This window comes from Homo sapiens, chromosome 3, assembly GCF_000001405.40.
Source record: "Homo sapiens chromosome 3, GRCh38.p14 Primary Assembly".
In the NCBI taxonomy this organism is placed as follows: domain Eukaryota; kingdom Metazoa; phylum Chordata; class Mammalia; order Primates; family Hominidae; genus Homo; species Homo sapiens.
The window spans coordinates 13,642,184-13,669,464 of NC_000003.12; the positions used below are offsets into that span (position 1 = coordinate 13,642,184).

The following is a 27,281-nucleotide window of genomic DNA, read 5'->3' on the forward strand; positions in this document are numbered from 1 at the left end:
GAGAAGTGTGAGTGGGCAGTGCAAATTCGTGCACTGTCTCCCATCGCCACACTTTTATAGTACCTCAAGCGTCTGCTGCCAGGGAGGCAAAGCCCAGGTGAGAGTCAGTGGCTCGCCTTTCCCTGTCAGGGCCCATTGGTGGCCTCCTGGGGCTTCTATGTTTGGTTTGTCTTGCCAGCTCCATGCAAGGCCTTCCCTCATGGGACTCTGCTGCACAGCCATCGGCAGTCTCTGTTTCTCTGTCTGTTGGCAGAAAGAACAGCTCTTATGAACTGTGCCTAGGGGGTGCAAGAGGAATGTGTCTAGGTTCATCTGCAGCCCCAATGTCCACTCATTTCGTGGACCCAGGGTGCCACCCCAAGCGAGCACACTGGGACGCCTACTTGCCATCCCAATCACTTCTTGATCCTGGAAGGGGGTTCCTTTGATGGGCATCAACATGTCCCACTTTAATGCACCCCTCAGATTCCCAGGGTGATTCTGCAGGGCTGTGCTCCACACGGGTATCCCTTTAATAGGCCAGGTTTCCGCTGCCCTCCTGCCTGACCATAGGGTCTGACAAGGTCACCCATGAATCAGTAAAAACACAAACACACAACTGAACAGCACGCAGTCCCTCCCACCGAGCTGATTCATTTTCACCTTCTTCCATTGGAGGGCTGGCCTTCCAAACTGTGCTGTCCGCATACCTTGGAACCATCATCTGTACACACTGGCCAGTCAAGAGCTCTCACAGAGCATCAGCCAAGTGACAGTAGGATCTGGCAGCCCCTCGGGTGGTTCTAAAGTTGGCCCTAGGGGAAAGCCTGTCTGCTCATGACTACGCCAAGTACCCCTTTGCATCCCCAGGCAGCACATTCCTGCACAAACCATTTCCATTTTATTAAGAAACTCTGGGGCCGGGTGTGGTGGTTCACGCCTGTAACCAAGTCGGGTAGATCGCCTGAGCTCAGGAGTTTGAGACCAGCCCAGGCAACATGGCAAAAACCCATTTCTACAAAAAATCCAAAAATTAGCCAGGTATGGTGGCGCACGCTGTAGTCCCAGGTACTCAGGAGGCTGAGGTGGGAGGATGGCCTGAGTCCAAGAGGCGGAGGTTGCAGTGAGCTGAGATGGCACCACTGCACTCCAGCCTGGGTGACAGAGCTGGACCTTGTCTCACAAAAAAAAAAAAAAAAAAAAGGAAATTCTGGGTGTTGCCCTCCCCATTAGGGTGTTTCTTTGACATCGTCCAGAACATTATGTGTATTTCAGATTTTTAGATTATTTTATAGCCTTCAATCATAAGAGTGGCCTCAGTCAAAATGCAATCATTGTCTCTCCAATGAAAATTTTCTAGTCCCAAATCCCAGTGGTCACCCCTGGGTGGCACTAACAGGCTTTTGCCGTACAGCCTGGTCTGTGTAAGGACTCCAGGGCTTTTGGGGGTAGTTTTATGGGAAGGAGTTGCAATATTCCTGGACGTGGAGTGTGTACCCTCCAAAGTCTGAATCAGCTGACCAGATGCTGGTCTTCAATCACTATTGCCAGAAGGGCAGGTTTACCTGCCTTCTATTTTACAGCAATTGGTGGGAGAAGCATTCCCCAGCCAGACCATCTCTATCCCCAGCATATGCTCCGATAAAGCAGGTGCAGGCACTTCACAGAGAATTTGTTCCAACATTCCAGTTTTCACCTAAGTATCCACCTTAATTCCGTCAACCATCACATTTCTAAATCCTCCCCATTGAACGAGAGCCTCCATTCGGGCTTCGCTGACAGGTTTGGAATCACAGAGCAGAGGCTCCCACAGACGGAGTCTGTTCTCCTCCCCCGGCCATTTCACTCACCCGTGTGTGTATGGCTTTGGGTCCCCAGCTAGGGGGTGGGCCGAGAGACTCAGGCCTTCTCCTGGTTAGATTGTGAGACCACTGCCTCAGGCAACTTGAGATCAGAATTCTCACTGTCATTTTAGGCCTCCCAGGTTTTAAAAATCTTCCGAACTAGAATGAATAAAGCAGATTTTTTAGGGCCTTTTCACATTGGGCGGCCGGCAGGGTCCATCCAGCTTCTGTGAGTGCTGCATTGAGACCGTTGTTTCGTCCTCATCAATATCCACTTTATTCATCTTATTTCTTAACACCTGTTTAAAAGCTTCCACCCTGCTGGGATGAGTCCCTTGACTCTCTCCTTGGTCCTACCCCTTTGTTTTGTCCATGCTCTTATGAAAACCTTTACTATCTGTTGTCTCGGCACACTTTTCCCTTTGGAGGAGGCTCTGAGGCCAGTAGCTACACCTTGGGTCAACTGACTGTACCCTGGCCCAGCATCGGAATCTACCCCACACATTCCTTGGGTAGGGCTTCAGGCTAGAGGCTGTGGTCCAGGCTGACCAGAATCTTGGCTCAGCACCAGGGTCCCTTCCTACACTCACTTACCTTTTAACCACTGCAGATAACAATAACCAAGGGATTTCACATTTTCCTTTTTTGTTGTTTCTTTGCATTTCCTTATATTCTAGTGAGCCAACTGCTTAGGAGTTGGATCCCTCATTTCTAAATTCCATTGATAACTTTTACCTTACAAAAAATTGATTGTATTGGTTCTACCTGCAAGTGTACTTGAAAAAAAAAAAAAGACAAAAAATGGATTGCAGCACAGCCACCACCAGGAATGAAAGTTTCCTCAGCTCCTACCCTTTTACTCTTCCCAAACCACATGTTCCAGTGAGTCAGGGTTGGTCTAGAAAGTCCCAACTCTGACACCAACTGTAAGGAGTTCAGCAAATGATAGAGTTTAAGGAAGGAGTCCCCACCAGGCTGCTCTTACTTCAGGCACCAGCCGAGAATGGGGTTTCCAGGATCACCGTCCCTTCAGATCAATTGGTGACATAGTCAGAGGTCCCTGTAACCACCCTAAGATACAATCATTCACTAGAATGACTCAAAGAAAAGTATAGCACTCAGGAAAGTGCTATACTTATTACAATTTTATTATAGTGAAAGCATACACATCCAAGCCAGCCAAGGGGAGAGACACAGAGGGCAAAGTCCAGGAAGGGTCCAAACATGGAGTTTCTGGTTGTCTCAGATGGTGTGACCTCCTCCCAGACATGATGTATGATAATACACAAAGAGGATAAACAACCAAGGAAGTTTATCTGAGCCTTTGGTATCCAGAGTTTTTACTGGAGCTCATTGGTGGTTGGGGCACAGATATTCCCCAGCACAAGGTGGCAGCACGATTGCTAAAGATGGCACCAGTGGTGGCCCGGGAACACTCACAGGGAATGCTGGTAGAGGGAATGCTGTGGCTGGGAATGCTGATGCAGGCATTGGAAAAATTTGAGGGAATGATGGCTACAAAGACCAGAGGAATTGGACTGCTGAGTTATACTGCCCTGCAGAGGGATGAGAGAGTCTGAGCTGTGAGTTGGAGGTTGGTGGCCAAGCGGGAGGCAGAAAGCCTATGGCAGCTCACAAAGCGGCACCTGTCTCCTGAAGGGGAAGGGCAGGCAGAGCTGAGTGGCAGGCCGAAGACCTGATTGTGAATTTTCTGTTGAACATAATAAAAAAAAAGTCCAGCTGGATGCAGTGAAAAGCAGGGAAGGGCATGCCAGCCCAAGGGAACAGCACGTGCAAAGCTTCTGAAGCGGAGAAGCCTGATCTGCCTGGAAGGACTGGATGAGGGATGAGGGTGGAGGGGGTGGGGTGAGGCAGGGTCAGCAAGGCACCACGAGCCTCCACCAGGGCTCTGAGCAAATCCCCAGAGCACTGGGAGCAGCTGAAGCACGGGGCAGTGATGACAGCCTTGGAACTGCATTTCCCCATACCCCTCTGGCTGTAGGCTGGAGAATGGATTATAAGGGAGGCCCTGCTGGAGCTGATCCCTCTGGGGATATTGGGATGCTATGGTGTGGGGTCCTGGGATGCCAGTCTTATCATTTGGGCTGTATCTCATGCCTGGGCCCCTCTCTTATCTCAGGGACAAGACAGTGACTCACCCATCTCAGACTGGACAAGCCTGGCGGACCCATCTCAGCTAGAGCAGCGACATTCACACCCATGTTCATGATCTCCACCCTCCCGCATGTGCGCTGCTCTCCCGGCCCTGAGGAGGGGTGTGTGGAATGGAACACAGGTCCCCAGACCCCAGACACACTCATATGTGTTAGTCCCACACGGTCAGGGCAGCACCCAGCCCACCTGCTGGCCTCCCCTGCCAGGGCCTTCCTGCTGCCTGTGGGGCCCACACCTGGGTCAGCCTGCCTGTCCTCTCTGGGCATGGCCAGCCTGGGACCAGCTAGAGATGGGCACACCATGATGGGCAGGTCTGTGCAGCTGCCCCACCATCAGGGCATGCAGAGGGCATGTGGGGAGTGCCTGGGGCCCCTGGCCTTCCTGTTGGGTTAGTTTTGGAGAGCTAGGGGGTGAAGGCTGGCACTCACCCACACCATTGTCCCTGGGGGCTGTGTCAATATCCCCATCCCTGCCCCGCCGGCCTCCATCCTAACACCTTCATTGTGTATCTCTGTGCTGAAAATTGGTTTAGAAAATGGGTACTGTGGTGCGGTGGGCATGTATTTTTTAAAATAAAGTTTTAGTCTTAGAATAGTTTTTGATTTCTAGAAAAGGTGCAAAGATAATTCTGAGTAGTCCCCCACCTAATTCCGTTTACTGTTAACACCTTACATTACTATATGTGCACAGTGAGATATGTGTCAATCAATATTGATACATTCTTAACTAAAGTCCATACTTTATTTAGCTTTCCTTTGCTTTTATTTAATGTCCTTTTTCTGTCCCAGGACCTCCTCTGGGATACACATTACGGTTTCTTAGACTAGCTCTGGGATTTTGTTTTTGTTTTGAGATGGGGGGGGGTCTCTCTGTGTTGCCCAGGCTGGTCTTGAACTCCTGGTCTCAAGTAATCTTCTCACTTTAGCCTCCCAAAGTGCTGGGACTACAGGTACACGCCGCCATGCCTGGCTCTTGCCTTGGTTTTGACGATTTTGACAGTTGAGGAGGACTGGCCCGATACATCGTAGGATGCCCGCTACTGGGGTTTGTCTGACACTTTTCTCATGATTAGACTGGGATTGTGGGTCTGGGGAGGAAGATCACAGAGGTAAAGTGCCCTGATCAGCACATCCAATGGAGGGCAGCTGCTGTCAACATGAGGCATCCCTTGTGATGCTGGCGTTGCCCATCTGGCTGAGGTCGTGCTGATTGGGTCTCTCCACTGTGAAGTTTCTCTTCCTCCCCACTCGCTGCAGTGCACTCTTTGGTGCACATATTTGCAGTTGCTTTGCAGCCTGGTGTTACGGATGCCACTCGGCTCCCTGATTGTGTAGTCAGCAGTGTTAAGTGTTCCTTCCTGTTGGCGCACATCTTGTCTGTTGCTGGTGCCTGCTACGGAGTCCTCCGAGGGGCACCCCACACTTTCCCTGGGATCACGTGTCCAGGCTGCTCCCAGGTACGCACCCCACAGACTCTGCTGCAGAGAAGGGGGCCCATTTGTGGACTTCCCTGGACATGCAACCAAGGAGCGAACTGCTGATCATGGGTGTCTGTACTCCAGTTTTGACCCCATTTTTTCAGGCTGCCCTCCAGAAAGCCTGTGCGTCCCCATCAATCATCCCACTTCCTGAGATGTGCCAAGTGGAGGGGCGTGCCGCGCTTGCTTGCCGGCTGTTCTGCACACGGGCGCTAAGGGTTCTGCTTTCTCTGAGTCACTGAGCTACACCCAAAACCAGCATCCCATCCTGTGGGCTGTAGGCTCAAGTGGGTCATTGCTTGGCTTGGGCACAATATTTAGAAAAGTTTTGAGCCAACATGTCAACACTGAGGAATTTCACGTGCCCTTTTAGGTTTTGGGCTGCTCTGGAAACCCCAAACTGCTTCTTTCTTATGGTTCCCAAGGTAAATCTGTTCTTCTCAACGTTTTTCATTTGGAAGACCCCGTTGCCCCACAGCACCTTATGGCTTCTGCAAAATAGACTGGGTCCACTGCAAAGCCCTGTCTCCAGGCAGAGCTTTTCCCGCCAAGGGCTGGGCAGCCTGGCTGGAGGCAGTGAGCACCCATCGCAGGAGGTATCAGAGCGGCCCCAGCAGGTCCCGGGTGTGGGATGGGGCCACTGACGTTCCCCTCGTTTAGCTTCCATAGCTTTGTGAGACAGGCATTCTCCTCGCCTGCCGCTCTGCAAGCTGGTGGGACAGAAGCACCTTCCAGCTTTGTGGATGAGTTCTGACGCAGCTGCGGGGCAACAGTGCCCCCTCGTGGCTGCAGCCCCAGCCTGGCCGCTCTGCCTGCAACTAATGGAGGGGTGGATTTGGACAAGTGGCACGGGGGAAAGGTGTTTCTGACTGCAGGAAGGGCTGCAAGGCTTTCCCACAGCCAGTGTGGCTGGAGGGAAAGGTGCGGTGGGAGCAGAGGCCAGAGGTCTGTGGGGACCAAGTGGGGAGAGGATGGGATACTGAGTGAGGGGTGGTCCTTGAGGGAATTTGGGCAGAGTGGCCACCCCTCCCTTGAACAGTAGGTCTGTCCATGATCCCAAGGGCTCCCTGGGGTCTGCTCCTCTGACCCATTCCTAAGACCAAGGGATTCCAACCACAGGAATCTTCCTGCAAACAGATTTGTGGGCTGGCTTGGCCTGGCCTGCTCTGCCATGGATGGAACCATCGTTGATAGCTAGGGGCTTTAATGATGGAACTGTGGGCAAAATGCACCCCCAAGGGAATGGAGGTGACTCAGTTCCACCAGCATCTACCGGCAGCCCCTGCCGTGTCCAGGCTCTGTGCTGGCAGGCTCTGCGTTGCTCAGATCCTGTTCCCACCTACAACCTGGAGGGAGGGCTCCCAGCCCCATCTATAGAGGTGGAAACTGAGGTTCAGAGAGAGTGTATGACTTGCCTAGGGCCACACAGGGATTCAACTCTGTAAGGGAAACCTCATTGCTCAGGAGAATGAGAAGAAAAGCCACAGACTGGGAGAAAATATTTGCAAAGGACATAGCTGATAAATGACTATTATCCAAAATCTACAAATAACTCTTAACACTCAATAATAGGAAAACAACCCAATTAAAAAGTGGGCAGAAGATCTAAACAGACACCTCATTCAAGAAGATACACAGATGGCAAATAAGCACCTGAAAGATGCTCCACATAGGTATATCATTAGGGAGCTGCAAGTTAAACCAACCATGAGATACTGCCACGCACCTACTGGAGTGGCTCATATCCAAAGCACTAACACACCAAATGCTGGCGAGGATGTGGAGCACCAGGAACTCACATTCATTGCTGGTGGGAATGCAAAATGGCACAACCACTTTGGAAAACAGTTTGGCTGTTTTTTTTTTTTTTTTTTTTTTTTTTTTTTTTTTTCAGACAGGGTCTTTCTCTGTCACCCAGGCTGGAGTGCAGTGAAGCAATCACGATTCACTGCAGCCTCAACCTACCAGGCTCATGTGATTCTCCCACCTCAGCCTCTTGAGTAGCTGGGACTACAGGCATGCACCACCACGCCCAACTGATTTTTGTATTTTTTGTAGAGGCGGGGTTTTGCCATGTGGCCCAGCCAATCTGAAGCCAATCTGAAAAGGCTACACACTGTATGATTCCAACAATACAACATTCTGGAAAAGGCAAAACTATGGGAACAGTAAAAAGATCTGTGGTTGCCAGGGGTTAGGGGGAAGGGAGCACAGGGGATTACGGGTGGAGTTTAGAGAATTTTTTGGGCGGTGACACTATTCTGTGTGATACAATAATGGTGGATAAGGGTCGTTGTACATTTGTCCAAACACATGGAATGTACAGCTTCAAGAATGAGCCCTCACGTAAACCATGGGCTGTGGGTGACACTGATGTGGCAGTGCAGGTCCCTCATGCACCCCTCTGCTGGGGATGTTGATAGAGGGGAGGTTGTGCACGTGTAGGGGCAGGGAGTGTGTGGGAACTCTCTGTACTTTCTGCTCAGTTTTCCTGGGAACCTAAAACTGTTCTAAAAAATTAAGTCTACTTAAAAAACAAAACATAACAGCCCACTGCGTGGCCCTCCCCATACTCCCAAAGCTCACATTCTAGTGGGGAGTCAGACACAGAAACAGACACAACCATGTTGGCAGTCACTGCAATGATGAGGCAGACACAGGGGGCTGTGGAAACTCAAGAGGGGCCATTATAGTGGCATCAGGGAAGGCTTCCTGGAGGAGGTGTTGCCTCCAGTGGGTTTTGACGTGCAGCAGGAATCACCCAGCCGGAGATCAGGGCAGGCACTGCAGGCAGCATGCTCAAAGGCACGAAGGAGTGAGGTGGTGGGGGAGCAGCGGAAGTTCCTAGCGCAGCGTGGGGGTGCTCTGTGCACAGATAAGTTGCGGGCCGCGGGAAACAGGACCCTGGGGGGCCCCCTAGAGCCTCGCGGAGCGGCTTGCAGAGGAGCCTCGGGGCCACGGCGTGTGTGCAGCGACACCTGGCGGTGGCATGCGGAACTGCGGACGGCTGCGCAGGAGCGGACAGCGGAGAGGCGGTACTGACCGGTGCGAGGCGGTGCTGACCGGTGCGGGCCGGTGCGGGCCAGTGCAGGCCAGGCCCGGCCGGGGCGAGGCAGGTGGCCAGGTCCGAGGACCGCGTCGCACAGCAGCTTTCAGGACCTGGAGAGAAATCGAGGTGGGGGTGCGTGAACGTGGATGGGCAGAAATAACATCTTTTGTACTCTAATTGGAACATAGCATGTCCTTTAATTATGAACGCAATGAGCTATAGTAGCACTACTGATTTCAGAGATGGCGCAATCTCGCTTTCCTTCCTTAGTACTTTGAAATTGCAGTGGGTATTAGACCCGCTGCTAGACCGTGTCATTCACTGGGTTAAGAAGGAAGCCCAGGTAGCGCCACGTCACAGACCCCTTTTAGTATTCTGATAACTATAATTTAAATCTAATCGGCATTTAAGAGCCTACAGGCTTGCCCAGACTGCCAAAGGCGTCTCTGGCACACACACACGCACACACACTAACATGCACACAAGCAGACACACATGCACGCAGACACGCACATGAACACATGCACACGCACACTTGCATGTACACACGTGTGTACACATACACACATGCATGGTTGAGAACCTCTCTGGAGAGGAAAGGCAACACCAGTGTGTCCGCTATGTAGTGGTTTATCAGACAGTTTATTGTGGACATGGACATGAATAAGAAAGGGGCACTGCTAATTAGGCCAAGGCAGTGGATATGAGGTGGGACTGTCCCTAGCACACTGGGACCAGGGCTACCCTGAGGCCTGCAGGACACCGGGAGCTGTGTGTGAGTTTGCATCTCTGTAGGCGCGTGGCTGTGAGTGTGGGGGAACCTGGTGAAACGCATCTGAGGAGGGGAGGGGGTGTCTGCCACTGTTCTGGGTGTGTGTGTATGTGTGTGTGTGTGTGTGTGTATAGGGCATTCTGATCTCTAGTACCTGGGTTCTAGCAGATGCCTGACCTACAGCCCTGTGTTCAGCCTGGTCATTCCAGCTCTCAGAGAGACCTTGCCCAGCCATTTCCTGGGGTAGCAAATGGTCTGGAACCAGTCTGTCTTGCCTCCCCTGAGGGAGACAGGCGGGCTACTTGTGTAGCCTTCTTACCTCACTAAACTCTTCCTTCCTTCCATGATGATCCCCGTTTTACAGACACAGAAACTGAGGCCCAGAAGAGCTGAATATTTGGCCCAGGCCACACAGGGAGTCCAGCCACGGGTGATGAGGGGCTGAGGATCGGGGAGGGACAGGAAACCTGGCCTTTCTGAGCCTTGCTGTCCTTATCTGCTGCGTCAGGAGGTGAGAGGAAGATGTTTGGGGCTGAGCTAGCAGAGAGGACACTGAGCTTTTGGCCTCTCCCCTGTGTAAACCCCACCATGACTCCCCATTGCCACGGCATCAAGTCCCAGTTCCATGGCCTGACATTCCGGTCCCTGCCCCCTTCAGATTCATTGCCCATCACTCCCCGTCCACTCCCTGCACTCCAGCCACCCTGGCCACCAGCCCTTCCTAGCACCCTCCAAGACCCTTCTCATCTCCACGCCTCTGCCCATTCTGTACCTGGCAAACTCCTACGCATCCTGCAATGCTCAGCTCTGAGCACCCCACACAGAGTTGGCATCTGCCTGCTGTGTGCCCCCACCGCCCTCACACATCCCTGCAGGTAGTCCTTCTCAGGACTGATGCAGCAAAATAAGATCCGAGTCCCCAGCACCTAGCACCGTGCATAAAGCAGGCACTAACAAATGCGTGTCGAATGAATAAGCAAATGTGTGCGTGCACACTCCACCCGCCCCCCTCCTCATGAACTGCTTGAGAGAAGGGCTGGGTCCTTTCCAGCTACTCAGGTGGCAATCGGAGTTTGTCCAATGTCCAGGCTGGAGCCAGAGTTGAAGGGAGGAGCAGGCTGGGGGTGGTGGTGGCTGCATTTGGTGTTAGGAGGCCCAGGCTGGGCCTGTGAGCTGGACACCCCACCCCAACACCTGAGGTATCTGCTCCAGGTCCCTCTCTGCATGCTCCTGGATGGGGCTTGGCTGTGGCTTCCACTCAGGCCCCTGGATATCCCCACTGCAGCTTGGCCCTCTGTGACTCACTCTTTCTTGGCCCTAAAGGTCAGTGCAGGGCCAGGCCTCGTCCTCTTCTCTGTCCATTTATCAGGTCGGAAGCTCAAGGCTGACCTGGCTGGGGCCAAGGTTTATGTGCTTGTTCACCCCACCCAGCACCTCTGACCTTGTGAAACATGCCAGGAAGGGTGGGGACAGGAAGGTGACACTAGGGCCTCTGTGTCTGCCCCGGGGCACTGTCAGCTGGGTCAGGATTTATGCCCTGATGTTCCCACCCCCAGACCTGGTCACCAGGCCCACGCCCTAGGTCTGGTGCTGAGCCATCCCTGCAGGGGGCCCAGCAAAGCCTGAGGGCTGGGAGCTGGCTGGGGTGCGGGGTGGGCCGGGGTTGGGGGTTGGCAGGAGGCAACTGCAGATTAGGTCCCAAGTGAACACTGCTAGCGTCTTTGTCCTGCTGAGAGACATCGGCTGGGACATCTTGCCTCCTGGGGCCTGTTTCCGCAACTGTAAATGGGCATTGCCTTAGTAGCCACCCTTTGGGGCTCTTGGATAGCACATGTCCACAGAACCTCAGCTAATGTGCCTGCCTGCAGTGTTCCCCATTTTCTTTTGGGGAGCTCCCCTTGCCAGTACCAACGCACATGGTCTTTGCTGGGCCATCCTTTGCACACTGTATCTCCAGACCTGGGGCTTGAGAGGGCGCCTCCTCAACAAGGGCCCCAAACGTGGGCTGGGGCTCCAGGGGCAGGAGGTAAGGGAAGAGGTGGTTTTAGTGGGTTTGCTGGCAGCAATCTGAATCCAGGGGTTGCAGCGGAAGGAATTGGAGATGGGAGGAGGCGCAAGGCCAGTTGGATCAGGGGATACGCAGGAGATGGTGTCTTTGGTCACCCAGTTGCTCAGTCGGAAACCTGGACAGCCTGGCCCCTGCCCGTCCCCTCATCTCCTAGCCAGCGGTGAGTCTTGCACAGCCCTCCGCCCACCCACTCCAGCACTCGCCACTTCCTGCCTCTTCCCCTACCTCTACTGCCCCGGCCTGCTTCCACTACCTGCGTCTCTCACCGACGTCACTGCAATCGCCTCCTCGGAGGCCTCTGCCTCCTCTCTTCTCCACACCCTCACCCTCCATTGTCACTACCTTGCTCCTCACAGCTGGCTAAGCCATTATGACTAATGACTGTTCTCAGCTCCCAGCCCCATGGTTTCCATCACACCAGGATACAGTCACATTCCTTGCCGTGGCCTGTGAGACCCACAGAGTCCTGGCACTGCCGCCCCCTGAACCTCCTCTCCCTCCCCTTTCTCTGCCGTGTCCACAGCTCAGTGAGCCCATTCCCACCTCGGGGCCTTTGCACTTGCCGGTCCCTCTGCCTGGCACATGCTGGCTTCAGTGTTCATAAAGCTCCCTCCCTCCCGTCACTCAGGTCTCTCCTCAGATGTCACCTCGTCAGAGTGGCCTGTGCTGACTGCCATATCTACAATACCCTTCCCAACGCCTGGCATCCGCCTCCTCACTCTTGTATGAGTGTCTTCAAGGCACGTTCACTTGTGGCTATTGCTTAATATATTTAGTTGCAGGAGTATAATCTGGGGGCCCCTGGGAGACAGACCCTGGCATGATGGGTGTTGTGATGGGGGAAACCGGGCCATGTCCTGGGGACTGAGAGCAAGTTGCTGCCCTTCTGGGCCTCAGTTTCCCCTTCTGTTCCGTAAGGCCCAGGCTCTCTCCCTGCCCGCTCACGTGTCCTGGGAATGCTGAGCCTTTGCTTTGTCCTGGAAGTGGGGTTGCCATGGAAACAGAGGCAGGAGGCTCCAGCAGAGGCAGCATCCGCCTCCCTTTGTTAGACCCAGGGCCTGCTTTCTGGGGGGCCCCCTTCTGTGGAGGAGTCTGTGCTTCTTGAGGGGCCAGTAGCCTCTACTTGGCCCTGCTCTGGCCGTCCTGCTCCCAGCCCCCAGCTTGCAATTTGCTTCACTAGATTGTAAAGCAGATGATGAAAGGGCAGTGTACCAGGTTAGGAGTGGAAGGTCAGGGGCATCAGGACCCAGGGCACCGGGAAGCAGGAGTGTGTTCTCACCTCAAGTGGCTTTAGACAGTTCCCCCATCGTCCTCTGTGCCCCTAGCCCTGGCACTCCCTCTGCACACAGCTCCGCTTTGATCAAACCAGTGCCTGGCCCACCTCCCTGCTCCCATGCCCACTGGGGCAGGATGTGGGCTTGGCGGGGAGTGACACATGGCAGCCCTAGGCGTGGCGACAACTGGAGACATCCCGTCTGCCTCAGGTTCCCCCTTAGGGCCGGGCGATACAGGAAGGGGGACCTGCTCGTGAGCACAGCTGGGCGATGGGATGCCAACTCCTTGCCCAGGTAGCCCCAGGACGGCGCTGCAGCAGGAGTGTCCCTGATCCCGGGTGGTCGCTCTCCAGCCCGCCAGGCTCTCCGACGGGCTCAACCCGCAGCCCCTGGCCGGGGCTGGGGCCGGGACGCCAGGCCCCTGTGGGGACGGTTCCCTCCAGCAGTTGGCGAGGCTCGGCCGGCCAAGGGGCCGGTTCCTCCCGCTGGCAGCCGCCCGGCCGCCGCCTTCCGCCCTTGCCCGCCCGCGGCCGTCCCCGAGCCGCTCCCGGCCGGGCCTTGAGCGCCTTTTCCTCTTCCCGGCGCCCCGGCCGCCCGGCGCGTCCAGCTAAGCAGGAAGGGCCCGCCCGCGCCCAAGGCCAGGGCCTCAGCCGGAGGTCGCCCGCCGCCAGGGGCCGCTGCGGCGCCGGGGACGCGCGAGGCCTGAGGGTCTCCCAGGCGCGCCCAAGACCCATCCGCGCCGGCCGCCTGCCCTGCTGCGTCTGCCCACTGCCCCTGGGGCGCGTGATGGTCCCCTCGACGCTCCGCCCTGGCTTCCCCCATTAGTGCCATTAGTGCCTGTGTGAGTGGGACCTGGGTTGGAGGGACCTGCCAAGCTAACCCTAGGGGACCCCTCCTCCAGGGAGCCACCTCCCCCTCGCACTTTCGAGGGGAGTGGCTGCCCAGAGATAACCAGAGACTGCAGGGCGCCTTGGGCCACCTCTCTGGAAGGCACAGACAGGTGCCATCCTTTTCTGGGCCTGAAGGCTTTCCCAGAGAGCAGGAGGAGGAAGTCCCGGGAACATCCCATTAAGGAGATGACACTCTCTTAGGTGTCTATAATATCGCTGCTTTGGAATCTCAGCGGCAGAATTCAGGACCCCTGCCCTCAGAGTTTCAGTACAGTGTAGCCATGAGGCACCCGGATGGCTTGGGTTCAAATCCCAGCTCTGCCATTTTCCAGGCAAGTCCCCTAACTTCTCTGGGCCTAGGTTTCCCATCTGTGAGATGGGGCTGCTGATGGTACCAGCCCCATCGGGTTGTGGCAAGGACTGGACACCCAGTGCAGTTAAGCTCTAGCACAGCACCCGAGGTGATGATTACCATCACTCGCTACAGTGGATTGGACTCACAGGGTCAGGAGCCCAGAGACTTACATTGGAGCACAGAGATTCAGGGTCTTGAGAAAGATAGCAGGATCTACCTTGCAGGGAATATTTGGTCCAAAATTTTCTCTTCCTGGGAAGAAAAGGAAAATGAGAGGCCCCAGTACATTGAGCCACAGTGGTGAAGTCTGTGCCAGGCCAAGACTGAGGCCTTGGAGATGCAAACCAGCTAGGTGGCAGGGGCCAGTTGCAAAACACTTTGAGCCCCAGGCTCCCCATCTGTAAAATGGGCACTGCTGCCTCTCATGCGGGGCACGTCAGGGATGGGGTGTAGCACACATAGGTGCTTAGCAAACATGGGGAGGAGTCTCCCCTACTTTATCACACAGCAAGGGAGGCTTTCATGGGGAGACTGGGCCGGCTGTCTCCTTCTTCCCAGGAGAGAGTGATGACAACAGCTGTCGGGCCATCCTCGAAAGGTGCTGGGCAGGTGGAGGGCAGCCCTCGGTGCCCCTGGTTGTCCCCTGAGCCATCCATCCCTCTTCCCTGCTGTGGCTTCCATGCCCTGAGCAGCAAGTGGGAGGTGAACAGTAGTTGGAGAGGGGGCAGGTGGGCACACCAGGTGTGGGTGCTTATGAAGGCACAGATTCAGAGCAGGGACAGGTTCAACATCAGTGAGATGGGGGCTTTGTGACCATCTTCAGTAGCCTCGCACTGTACCTACATGGAACTGAAGCAGAGGAGGATAAGGGACTTGCCCAAAGCCACATGGCCAGACAGAGGTGTGTAGGACGAAGTGGGCCAAGCCCGTATGTCTCTTGCATGAGCAATGTCCATGCCTGATTCATTTCTATAGACCCCTCTGTATCAGCATGGAGCAGCATGAAGATATATTTGTTGAGTGGATGACTGTGTCTGTCAGGCCACATTACCAAAGGTCTATACTTGCAACGAGGGAGGGGACATCCAGTTTTGCTTTATTCTCTGAGCTCTCTGGCTCCTATGCTCAGCTCCAGACACATCAGTGGACCCTGAGATGAACAGCAAGCCCTGGAGACAGCATTCTGTCAGGAGATGGGGTGGCTCAGCTTGGAGGGGGTCCCCACTGCTGTCCCTAATTCTCTGCAGGGTTGTCCTGGGGCAGAAGGGTTAGGAGGAGCTGGTAGATCTGTGGGCAGGACCGGGACCTTGGGAAGACAGGTCCCAAGCTTATGAAGAAGTCTCCCAGTTTTACTCATAGCTGCCGTATGGGGGTGAACAAGTTGGGACAGCTATTTAGTGGAAATGTTCATGCAGTTATTTTTCCAAAAGTCTTTATCGGTCACCTACTGTGTGCCAGACACTGGAGCTGATATTATTTTACTGGAGAATTTGATAGTCAACAAATAAACAAATCGATAGTATGACATTAGATGGAGACAAGTAGGAAGATGAACAACAAAGCAGGACTGGGGTCAGAGGGCACCAGCGAGGGGCCTTGGTTAGACAGCGGGGCTGCCATTGGGCGGGAAATGGGATGATGTGAAAAGCGAAGCGAAGAGTGCGCCAGGCAGAGGGACCTGCAGGAGCAAAGGCTGGGAAGTGGGAATGTGCTGACAAGAGGCGTGGCTGGAGTGTAGTGAGCGAGACTCCCGGGCAGTACTGTGCCCTGCACCCCAGTGCCCTCTTGCCTTCTGCCCGGTGCAGTCACCCCTTCCTTACTCAAGCCCGTTCCACAGCCCCAAAGCTCCACGGCCCCAAAGCTCCACAGCCCCAGAGCTCCACAGCCCCAAAGCTCCACAGCCCCAGAGCTGCGTGGCTCCGGAAGGCTGCGTCAACCCCAGCGACCACACGGAGGCAGCAGAGAACACGGCTGGGACGAGGGCGGAGGGTGAGGACTGAATCTGAGCACCCTGGGGACTCCCAGGTAGCCGGGGCTGGAGACAGGACCCCTCCCTTGCTGCTTCTTTGTACCCAGCATCACATCTCTCTTCGAAAGTTCCTCCCTCCTAAGCAGCATGAACAGTGCCTGCTGAAATTACAGCTCCACTCCACTGCTCTGGAAGGCTCATCTCTTCAAGCCTCCATGCCTGCATCTGTGAAGTGGCAGCAAGCAGAGTTTCATCTCTAGGGGGGTACATCGCAAGTGCTCGGGAACGTTGTCTTCTTGCAACCATGTGTGCCTCACACAACTACCTGTGTGACTTTGGGCAACTCCCTGAGTCTCAGTTTCCACCCTCGTAAAGTGATGGTAGGACTATGGTGTGGGGATCTTCTGTATGCCAGGTACACATGCATAATGCATGCACAGATCCTGGCACTTAGTCAATGCCCAGTGACAATAACTAGTAATCATGACAATTGCATTGATGACCTGGGGGCTTAGAGTCGGGAGAGACCTGCTATTCGGAGGAGAACATTGAAGCTTGGGAAGAAGAGGTGTTTGCCCACCATATACTCACCAGGAATGAGAGGCCCAGGGGTCCCCTCAAGACTTTTGTCCATTTGACAGATGGGGACGCTGAGGTCGGGAGAGGGTTGGCAGCCTGGCCAAGGCCACCCTGTGGCAGGCATAGGACTAGAATCCAAGATGCCTGCTTCCCTTCACGGCTCATCCAACCATGTCTTGGGGCCCTCCCTTCTAGGGCAGGTGGTTTCTCAGGCTGCAGCTCCGGATGTTCCTTTTTCTTCTCCAACCTCCCCCCGCCCACACCCATGCCAGACTGTGTAATCTTGGAAAGCTGCATTCTTGGAAATCTGGTCCCTTCTAGTCTTTGAATTCTTCGAACTTCCTATTGGAGCTGCGGCCCCTAGTTCCCGATGGTGCCTGGGAGGGAGCCTCCTGATTTTGATGTTTTTCAGAGGGAATGAGGTGTTTCCAGTAGGTGGGCAGCCCAGGGTGGGTGGGTGGAGGTGGCAGTGTGGATGGCAGTTGGATGCAGAGAGGAGGAAGGGGACTTGGGGGGGCACCTGTGAGCCCCCTTCCACGGGACTTTTCCCCGGGGTGCACTTTCCCCCTTGGCTTGGAGAGGAAACAGTTTTCCATGTTCCTTTCTCTCTGTGTGCTTGGGAGACACCCACAGCCCTCTTGGAATAATTCCTCTGAAACCTCCAATACCTCCAGCGTCTCCCGGGGTATTTTTCTTGTGGTTAAGGTGGTATTTACAGTGAAAACAGCTATTGAAACGAATCGCAAAAATAATGTCAGTGTTTCCACTTTTGACAAAAATGGGAAGGCAGGTGGTTTCATGTCTGCGATAAGCGCATTGCTCCTGCAATAATTACTATTTGAGATAATTATGAAAAAGAATTTAAATACTTAAGGCATGCACAGGGGCCAGGACAACTTTCTTTTGCCTTATTCATAATTTCTGCTGCAAGTTGGAGTCTTGTCCTGACTGGGACGTGGGGTGGGCGTGGGATGCTGAGGAGCAGTGGGCCAGTGGCAGACCCAGCACTGAGACCTGCTCGAGGTTTGAGGGGCATGGTTGGGCCCAGAAAGAGTGCACATCTTGGAGTGGGACACACCTGGGTGGAAGATGAATGTTTTAGCAAGGCCATCCTAGGCAACTTTCTCTGCACCTCAGTTTCCTTATCTGTAAAATGGGGTGAATATTTGGGCCTTCCTTAGAGCATTGTATGGAAATTGAAGCAGACAGTGTATGAAAAGCACTCAGTGCTCTACATGGTCTACAGCCAGGGCTCAACACGCGCTGGGTCCCTTCCTGTGACATGGGAGGCCTGGGTGAGCTTCCGCTGCTCTGTTATCCACTGAGATCAAAGCCCAGAGTCTGAGAAGGCCCCAATGAGTCTGTATTTTCTTCCCTGCTCTCTCCTGCTTGAACTTCTTCCCAAAAGCAGAATTCAGAGAGTGGCAGGGCAGCAAATGCCCATGAGATTGGAGAGAAGCAGCCTCAGGGAGTCCTGGTCTCTGCCCCTGCGTGAGCCCAGAGGGTAAGCTGGGGCCAAGGACTGGAGGCCAATTCCACCTCTGTGTGTGGCCCGGGTTTCCCAGTTGGAACTCAGCAGGACTGGGCTGGACTGGGAGGGAGGAACCATTCTCCCAGTCACCTGAGATGTCCAAGCAGCACCTGGCTGACCATCTGCCAGTAATGCTGTGAAAGGGGCAGGTGTTGGGCTGTTGGACCCCTGAAGACCTCTAGTCCTGAGACTTAAGGGTGAGTCAGAACCAAGGTATCCTAGGGGCTCACAAGAGGTCAAGGCAGGTGCTGTTAGTTCTGCCCTGGCTCTGCCCTGACTCATCGCATGGGTCAATGCCTGACTCAGGCCTCACTTGCCCCATCTATGCAATAGGAGGGTTGGACTGTAAATGAAAAACCCAAAGAACAATGGCTTCAAGAAAGGAGAAATTTCTATCTCATTCATATTTAAGCCTCAAGGTAGGTGGTACAGATCTGGCATGGGGAACAGCTTCCTTCTAGCTCCTGGCTCCACCTAACCAAGGAGGAAATCTGGTCCTTGTGGTCCAAGATGGCTGCCAGAGTTCCAGCCATCACATCTAAGTTCTAAGTAGGAGGGAAGAAGAAAAAAGGACAGACTGTGGGTATCAGATGTCTTTTAGGAAAGGCTCCTGGAAGCTGATGTGGGACACTTTTGCTTATATCCTACTGATCAGAGCTTCATCACACAGCCACCCTTAGATGCCAGAGAGGCTGAAAGTGAGGGCTTTATTCTGGGAGCCCAGCTGAAATTCAGGGAAAGAAGGGGAGGATTGTCCTGGGGTCTACCAGCTGACTCTGCCACAGGACAATCTCGTCGGGTCCTTCTGCTTTGAGTCTTGGAGATTCTGAGGCTCTGGAAAGGCACAGTTTTCCATGACCCAGGCTTTAAGAACAGAATGTGGGCTAAGCTGAAATAAATGAGTTTTCAAAATTATAAGATTCTGGAATTTCCAAACACAGTGTGTGTGTGTGCATGGCATGTGTGCATGCATGTGTGTATGTGGCGTGTGTGTGTGGCGTGTGTGCCGAGGAGCACAGGTAGCAGATGTGGGGCTGTCGCAGGGCGGGGGCTGCTGGTGCCCCTTGGTGGGCAGCCTCTCTGGGCTCGCAGGCTGCTCCCTCAGCTCCTGGAATCTGCTCCTGCCGGCCTGTTTGTACACGTGCCTGTGTGCACTAGAGCCCCGGGGCCGGGGTGGTGGGAGGGGGGCGCCCAGGAATGCCTGCTGTTTTTAAGGCAGAGTTGTCTGTGCAGACTCCAGAGGTCTGGCTCCGCTGACGGGTGACTAGGGGGTGAAGGGCGCCCCAGAACAAGTTCCAGGCACCCAAGTGGGTGCGGAGGGGGTTATCAGGGTCAGAGCTGAGCTTCCATCTGATGGCCTCTCGGTTCTGAGTCAAGTATGAATTTTGTACCTACTTTGTGTAGGTTCTGGCCTTTAGGAGGTTGGGGCATTTTAATGCCTGTTCTGGAGGCAGGTGGAGGCCATGATCTGATTGGGCCTACACTGTCATATGCCCTGGGCAAAGGAAAAGTCTCTGCCCTCCAGGAGTCAATTAATACAGTCAATTAACAAAACAAATAGGCAAATAAATGGCCTGCACTAAGCTCTAGGGAACAAACCCAAGCAGGAAGTGGGGTGGGAGAGATGGCAGGGGTTGGAGTGATGGCGAGGCGATGGTCAATGACAGACTCACTGGAAAGGTGACTCTTGGGCAAACATTTGCAAGAGGAGGAGTGAGCCAAGTAGGCGTCTGAGACAGGGGCCTTCCAGGCGGTAGGCACATCCCAGGCAGAGGCCCCCAGGCAGGCATGGGCCTGGTGCGCTTGAATACTGTGCAAGGCCGGGGAGTAGCAGACTGGGTGCAGGGCGATCAGAGAGGCCACATGGCCAGAAGGTGTGCAGCACCTTGAAGCCACAGTATGGAGTTTGGTGTGGGTAAGGACTTTGGGCGGGGACCCTGTCAGGAGGTTCTGAACAGTGGAGGGTGGTGGTCTGACCTAGGTTTACATGGCGTGCTCCTGGCTGCTGTGGGGAGAATGTAGATGAGATAGAGGGTGGTGACTCAGTTTCCCCACAGGCTGTCTTCTCTTCCCCAGTGCCACAGAGCTCCAGGTTTCCCGGTTCTCTCCAGAGTCCTCCTGTTCTGGCCCCCTTTGGCCCTTCTCCACAGCCATTGTTCTGGTTCAGGGCTCATCTTCCCTTACTGGCGACTCTCTTGCTCCTGCCTCCTCTGGTTTTTAACTCCCTCATGATCGCAAAGTTGCTGCAGTGGTTCCAGGCGTCTCTGGCAGGATTTCCCGCAGAGCCAGCAGAGGTTCTGGCCTTTGGACCGATTGGCCCATTTTTATGCCTGTTCTGGGGGCAGGAGGAGGCCATGCACTGATTGGCTTGGACCTGGTTCATCTGGACCAATCGTGGAGAGAAAGGGGCGGGATGTCGTAGACCGGCCTTGGGTAGCCCGGCTAGCCGTTCCTAGTGGCCCGTGTGTGGCGTGGTGGGAAAGGGAGTACCCCGCCATGCCCACGGCTGTGCCCACGCTAGGAATGCGGTCTTTCCCGGGGGTAGCTTAGTGTCCCGTGGGAGGCGTGCCTGGGGCTCCCTCATGCCCCAGCTGCTCCTGCCCCACGCCATCTTCAGGCTGGATTATTTAATATATACACACACACACACACACACACACACACACATATACACACATATATATATTATTATACTTTAAGTTCTAGGGTACATGTGCACAACATGCAGGTTTGTTACATATGTATACATGTGCCATGATGGTGTGCTGCACCCATCAACTCGTCATTTACATTAGGTATACCTCCTAATGCCATCCCTCCCCACTTCCCCCACCCCACAACAGGCCCCGGTGTGTGATGTTCCCCTTCCTGTGTCCAAGTGTTCTCATTTTTCAATTCCCGCCTATGAGTTAGAACATGCGGTGTTTGGTTTTTTGTCCTTGCGATAGTTTGCTGAGAATGATGGTTTCCAGCTTCATCCATGTCCCTACAAAGGACATGAACTCAAGGCTGGATTATTTTTCTATGGGGCTTGTAGCAAATTCCCACAAATGGGGCAGGTGAAAACAACACACACTTATTCTTTTGACGGTTCTGAGGGCCAGACATTCAAAATGGCTTTTATGGGACAAAATCGAGGTGTCGCCTGGGCTACATGCCTTCTGAGAAGCCCTTTCTGGCCCTTTCCAGATTTTGGAAGACACCTGCTCTCCTGGGCTCAGGGCCCCTCCCTCCATCCTCAAAGCCAGCAGCGAGGCCACCCCATCTCTTCCACTCGGACCTCCTGCCTTGCCCCATCTTTTTTTTTGGAGACAGGATCTCACTCTGTCGCCCAGGCTGGAGTGTAGTGGCAGATCTTGGCTTGCTGCCACCTCTGCCTCCCGGGTTCAAGGAATTCTCCTTGCCTCAGCCTCCGGAGTAGCTGTAAAGCGGGTCCATCAGTCCCAGGCATGGGCCACCAAGCTCGGCTAATTTTTTGTATTTTTAGTAGAGGTGGGGTTTCATCATGTTGCCCAGGCTGGTCTTGAACTCCTGAGCTCAGGCAATCCACTGGCCTCAGCCTCCCAAAGTGCTGCTTCCCTCTTATGGGGACCTTGTGATCACATTGGGCCCACCTGGGCAGCCTGGTGTAATCTCCCCATCTCCCCGTCCTTGATTAAACCACATCTGCAAGGTCTCTTCTGCTCTGCAAAATATTCCCGAGATTAGGATGTGGCCTTTCTTCTTGGCAGGGCGTGGGGGAGATGCAACATTTTCCTACCACAGTGGCTTCATCCTACTCGGTGCTGGCATGGGGACTCTCTAACCCCGACTCCTCTCGGCCGCAGGCTGCCCCGATGGCTCAGGGTGGGTAGCTGAGTCCAGGCAAGCCCTGTGGCTGTCCCGTCCGCTGTCTCAGCTGCTGAGAGGTGTGTGGTGTTGGATGTGCCCTGGGTGAAATGCATGAGACTTGAGGTGGGAATGGTTTCCTTTTGCTCCCACCTCTGAACCAGAGCCTGTTCCCAGCTCTCCCTTCTCACCCTTCCCATGCGGGCCTTCCCACCTGCTTTCTGGGCTGGGGAGAGAAAAGGAAAGTGTCAGTGAAGACACAGGAATTGCCCCAAACCTGCAGCCATGGCTGCAAATCCAAGGGTGCACACTGGGGTGTCCTTGGCCTGAGTGCCAGCCTGCAGAGAGCAGGAGTGGGCCACTTGGGGACCCCATCCCACCAGGAAGCCTGAGAAAGCCCAGGGTGAGCCCGGCCCTGTGGAATTCTGGAGAGCCCGAGAAGCATTTGCACAGTCACCCAGCCGGGTTGGGACTGATGGACCCGCTTTACAGCGCAGGGAACTGAGGCTCCAGGTTTAGGGCCAAATTCCCCTCCCTCATCCCCAAGTTTCCCTGCTCCCTCACCACAGGCGCCCTTCCGTCCATGAGGGCCCTCTCTGGAGGGGCCTTCTTCAGCTTGCAGGGAGGTTTTATCTGAGACTCAGTGTTTTAAGTGATTCAATGAGGAGATTTCACATAGAAATCTGGATTTTTTTTTTTCAAAAACAATATAATAACACCAACAGGAGCAGCTGAGCTGCCTCTCTCATCTCCCTTCTGCTACCTGCGTTGCCTTTACAGCCCCAGCTGGTGCAGGGCCTCACCTCTCTTAGCCCCTCCTAGGACACTCTGTCCCACTGCTCTGAAGCTGGCGGGGCCTGGGAAGCAGGGACACACTTCGAAGCCTCGAGAAGCCACGATATCCTGGTCAAATCTGATACAGGGATATCAATCCCCAGGGCAGGGTGCTGAGGACAGGCCCTGTCGCTGGAGGGACACATGGCAGCTGCCCGCTAATGCACAGGGGCCAAGCGAGTGGGTGGCTGCAGAGAAGGAACCATCCTGCCACAGCCTTCTCCAGATCACAGGCTTTGAAGATTTCCAGTCCCCGCAGACTTGGAGTGTAGACACCCAGCCCCGTCTTTGACTAGCTCTCTGACCTTCAGTGCTCCCTTGACCTTTCTGAGCCATAGTTTTCCCACCTGTGAACAGGTGCGTGGGTTGGGTGACATGTTCTATAAGAGGCTCTCCAGCCCAGGTGCTGAGATGCAGCCCTGAGCAGCATTTTAAAGTCATAAGGTGCTGGGTTCAAAGCCTGTTTCCATGTTACCCTCCCCAAACCTCCACTTTCCCATCTGTAAAGAGGAGTCATTGGTCCCCCTGCCTCCTTCACATGGTTGCTGTTAACTGTGATGACAGTTAACTTGAACTTGCTTTATTAAGCATCCAGACTAAGGAGAGGAGGGACTTAGTGTATATGAAGTCCCTGCTGTTTGCCAGGCACTGTGTTTGACAGTGGAACCTCATGGCCATCCAGTAAGTTGGATTCATCCCTCCCTTAGTCGCACAGGGAAACTGAGGCTCAAGGAGGCCATGTGAGCTGCCCCCATGGGGTGGCAAGTGTGGGGAGATGTCTGGATTCGAACAGAGGCTCCTTCCTCCCACCTCAGCACAGGCGAGCCGCTGGGGAGGGAATGAGTTTGCGCTCCCTGAGGATTTCAGTGCTGGCTTCCAGCCTGCTGTGATGGGCGTGGGAGGTAGGTCGAGGTGCTGGGCAGGGCTGCCCAGGGTGGGGGCAGGAAGACAAGGGGGCCTTGGGTGCTGCCAAGAGGTATTGATTCCAGGCATCAGGCACTGGGCTGGGTCCCAGCCAAGAGATGAGGTCATGAAGGACGGGGACGGTGACTCCGGGGGCTGTGGCGTCCCCGCCGATGACGTGATTGCCAGACGTGAGGAATCTCTGCCTGGAAGATGCAGGCTCTCTCCTTCCTTCTCCTTGACAGTCCCCTTACTCCAGCCTGTTGTGTCTGGGGAAGGGAGGCTTATGGGCCCTGCCTTGCTGCTCTTGGGCTGTGTGACCTTGGACAAGTCACCACCCCTCTCTGGGCTTCCTCGGAACTCCAGGGCTCTGGCAGAACCTCTAATGGAGACCTTTGATCAGTTCTCACCCAAGGCTCTCAATCTCTTGGGAGGTTCAGACAGGTAGACTGGACTGTCTGGGAAGTGGGTCATCAGCAGCTCCCTGCAACCACTCACAACTGCCTCGGCTTCCCCACCAAGTCGTTAGGAATAGAAGGCAGTTATCCTCCTGGCTCCCTCAGGACTTCCCCCAGTATGGAGGCTGGAGTGTGCAGTGGGGAGTCAGGGCTCCAGGCTCTGCCACTTCTAGGCTGGGTGGCCTCAGGGAAATTGTTTAACCTCTCTGTGCCTAGTTTCCCATCATGGTGAGGGCATGTGTAAAGCTGCCCTACACAGGGCCCGGCACGTGGTTGGAACTGAGAAATGGTGAGTGGGTGGGTAGAATAAGTTGTGCTCTCATCCAATCACAGGCTTCCAGAGTCTGTTTGAGTTTGGGTCCCAGCTTTGGCGATGCTTAGCTGTGAAACCTTGGGTGGGTTGCCACCCTTCCCTGAGCCTCAGTTTCCCCATCTGTCAGGTGTCAATAGTATCTCCCAGATTGGAATCTGTGCGGGGTAAGCTTGGACACAGGGCTTGGCACCTGACGGCATGAAAGGATAGGTACTGCATCACCAGAGGACTGCAGATGGCAGACGGACCCATCCCAGGGACCAGAGTCATGAGGCCACCATTCTGGGACCCCTCTTGGCTATAGGACCACAAAGCCATGCATCTCTTTAAACTTTCCCTGTGAACTTAACCTGGGAATTGAAGTGGCTTTTAGGTGAAAAAATATTCAGATAAACAAAAGGAGGACAAGAATACTTGCCTGCAAGTCCCTCTCGTAGAGACGGTCATTAGCATCGCTAATCTCTTTTCTTATGCCCATATATACATATGTATATTTAGAAAGAAAGGACCATGCTATTTTTCATTTTAATACTATATAGTGCTCATGAATTTGTGCCATTAAACATTTCTCTATAATACCATTTCACACGGCCGCATAGTATCCGGCGCCTTGGCAGGGTGTGATATGTGCAGCCAAACCCTCCATCAACACTGCAGTGTTTCCTAGGTTTTCCCTGCTGTGGTGAACATGCCCCTGATCACCCTTGCCACTCAATCTTTGTCTACATCTAATGCTGCTTCCTTAGAATCAGTGTCTTGAAGCAAAATTGCCTGTTCAGAGTGAGCATTTTTAATGTTTGATTCGTGACACCGGTTCCTTACTCCCACAGCTGTGTGTTAGTTTTTATGCAAAATGTTCTGGGATCAAAAGTGATCCATGCTACGTTTGTTTCCTCCTTCATACAGAATTCCCCATGCTCTGGAAGAGCTGATACCCTCTAGGGAGGCAGGCTTTCTTCCTGGGATCCTTAACGCCAGCCTCATCGCCTCCTGCTGTCTGAACTGGATGGAGTTCACTCTGGGTTGCATCATGCCGGCCACCTCATTGCTTCTGAAGCATATGCCAAACATGTTCCTGCCTCAGGGCCTTGGCACCTGCCGTTTCCTCCGCCTGGAATCTCTTCCCGCAGATAGCCACCATCTATCTTTTTCTCCACAACTCAAACTGTATCTCCAGAGAGGTTTACTGGTTACCCACGTTGGCTTAAATGTGCCTGACCCGCCCCCATCCCTTCACTATCCTATCTGTCTTCATCACGGCAGGATCACTTTGGGAATGTGTCTTTTTACATATTTGTTTGCTTGTTTAAAGTCCAGATCTCTCAGGGGTACGGTGTGGCACCAAATAAAGGTAGTAGTGGGTGGTGGCTGAAGGTCAATCCTGGTCTCTCCATAACAGAAAAAGCAGGGACCTCATCTCTGTTGCTCCCCGCAGCTCCTCAGAGCCCAGACTGGTGCCTGGAAATGAGAATCAGAATAACTGTGAACTCGGAAACAGGTGGGCAGTGACCCAAGTGTGGGCACCTTTGCTTTCTTGTTCAATAGAACACAAAGTGGCCATTTTTGGGGTAGGGAGTGCAGCAGGCTGGGCTTCCTTCTTCGAGTCTCAGTTTCTCCAGCTGTAAAATGTGAACAACTTTCTAACTAGCGTGTGTGCTGTGAGGAAGAAAGGTGAGGATGTATGTGGTGTGCCCAGCACTCTGTCTAGCACACGGTAGGGCAGACATGCAGAGCTGCTGCCCATTTCCAGGTGGGGGGACCGTTCTTCACATTCCATATAGACGACCTCATTTCATCCTTCTAACACTGTGTGGTGTGGGGTGAGTCCTATACTAATCCCATTTTACAACTCGGCAAACTGAGCCCAGAGAGGTCAATGTCCAAAGACACCTGGCTCACGTGGGGTGGAACTGATATTCCACCCCAGAAATGTGTCCCCCTTGTCTAACCACTGCATGGCCCAGACTAGTAAGTGGCAGAGATGCCTTAATAGAGCAGGAATCCAGTCTGGCCCCAGAGGTACTGGGAGATCTTTGACCAGCCCATCTTCTCTACAGGCCTCTGTTTCCTCATCTGTAAAGCACACAACACACTCGTGTCATGTCCACTTTCAGGGGTTCTTGGGGGGAAGTGGGTTGAGTCTTTAGGAAGCTTCTGGCTGGAGGGGGACTGCAGCCCCCAACCCAGGATAATGGGGGAAGCAAAGAATGGAAAATGAAGACACTGGGAGGCAGGGCAAGGACCAGGGTCTGACTCAGGCACTCACCACGAGGTCACTGTGCTGCCCTCCCCTCTTCCACTCCCCCTGCCTACCATGGCTTCCTCAGGGAGAAATGTCTCCATATCTGGCTCCTGGCTGCGCAAAGAATGGTGAGGGGCATTGGGCTGAGGTGGAAATGGCTCAAAACCCTGACTCAGGACTCACAATGGCTTTGTCATATTGGCAGGAATCATGCAAAGTGAATTTGACTAGGAATAAATGTCAATTCCAGCACTTGGGTCCAAAAAGCAAACTGCACATGGCCAGGATAGGAAGATATGGCTTAGCACTGTTCATGGTGCTTAGGGGCTCAGCCCCGTGTGGCACATAAAAGCAAATGTGCCCAGAGGCCACATTACCTAGGGCATAGAGCCTAGAAGGAGGGAGCTGATTGCTGCCTCCACCTCTGTACTCTTCAGAACCCCCTAAATGTTGCAGCTGGGATCCTTTACCGAAGGACAGGCATGGACTAGGTTGTGTCCAGTGGGTGTGGCCAGGCAGGAGAGACTTCACTTCGTGAGGGGCAATTGGAGGAGCTGGGTCACTCAGTTTGGAGAGGCAGCCTCAAGGGTCCTGGTCACTACCTCCTCCAGTGTTTGCAGGGCTGCCCTGAAAGGGCCGGAGGTGGGAGGAGCAGGAAACTATGTGGGCTGGGACCCTCTATGTATAGGTGTCTGATACTGAAGGAAGCTGGGAGCTCTGCCTGAGTACGTGCTTGTTCCT

The 27,281-nt window shown here is 54.1% G+C and overlaps 2 long non-coding RNA genes across 2 annotated transcripts in view, besides 3 other annotated features; one reads left to right on the forward strand and one right to left on the reverse strand.

Moving 5' to 3' along the window:
* Window positions 1-4,929: 4,929 nt before the first annotated feature.
* Window positions 4,930-11,995, reverse strand: LOC100293612 (uncharacterized). Its single transcript, XR_110033.3, has 2 exons — window positions 11,908-11,995; window positions 4,930-6,293 (listed from the first exon to the last, which is right to left on the reverse strand). It is a non-coding gene; the product is annotated as an uncharacterized LOC100293612 (long non-coding RNA).
* Window positions 6,016-6,175: an enhancer, noted in NCBI's record as "active region_19493". NCBI's record gives its function as "activates an Ori minimal core promoter by ATAC-STARR-seq in GM12878 lymphoblastoid cells {active_cell/tissue: GM12878}" and the evidence as "EXISTENCE:reporter gene assay evidence [ECO:0000049][PMID:35858748]".
* The window catches only part of LINC00620 (long intergenic non-protein coding RNA 620), a 95,915-nt gene continuing 77,171 nt past the window's right edge, over window positions 8,538-27,281 (forward strand). Inside the window, exon 1 of the long non-coding RNA NR_027103.1 lies at window positions 8,538-8,650. This is a non-coding gene — a long non-coding RNA (long intergenic non-protein coding RNA 620). The remainder of the gene's footprint in view (window positions 8,651-27,281) is intronic.
* Window positions 12,351-12,851: an enhancer, noted in NCBI's record as "H3K4me1 hESC enhancer chr3:13696034-13696534 (GRCh37/hg19 assembly coordinates)". NCBI's record gives its function as "activates a minimal SCP1, AML or CMV promoter by ChIP-STARR-seq in naive H9 embryonic stem cells {active_cell/tissue: H9 hESC(naive)}" and the evidence as "EXISTENCE:reporter gene assay evidence [ECO:0000049][PMID:30033119]".
* Window positions 20,166-20,460: an enhancer, noted in NCBI's record as "tiled region #4110; HepG2 Activating non-DNase unmatched - State 20:ReprD, and K562 Activating DNase matched - State 4:PromP". NCBI's record gives its function as "activates a minimal TATA promoter and a strong SV40 promoter by Sharpr-MPRA in HepG2 and K562 cells {active_cell/tissue: HepG2 | K562}" and the evidence as "EXISTENCE:reporter gene assay evidence [ECO:0000049][PMID:27701403]".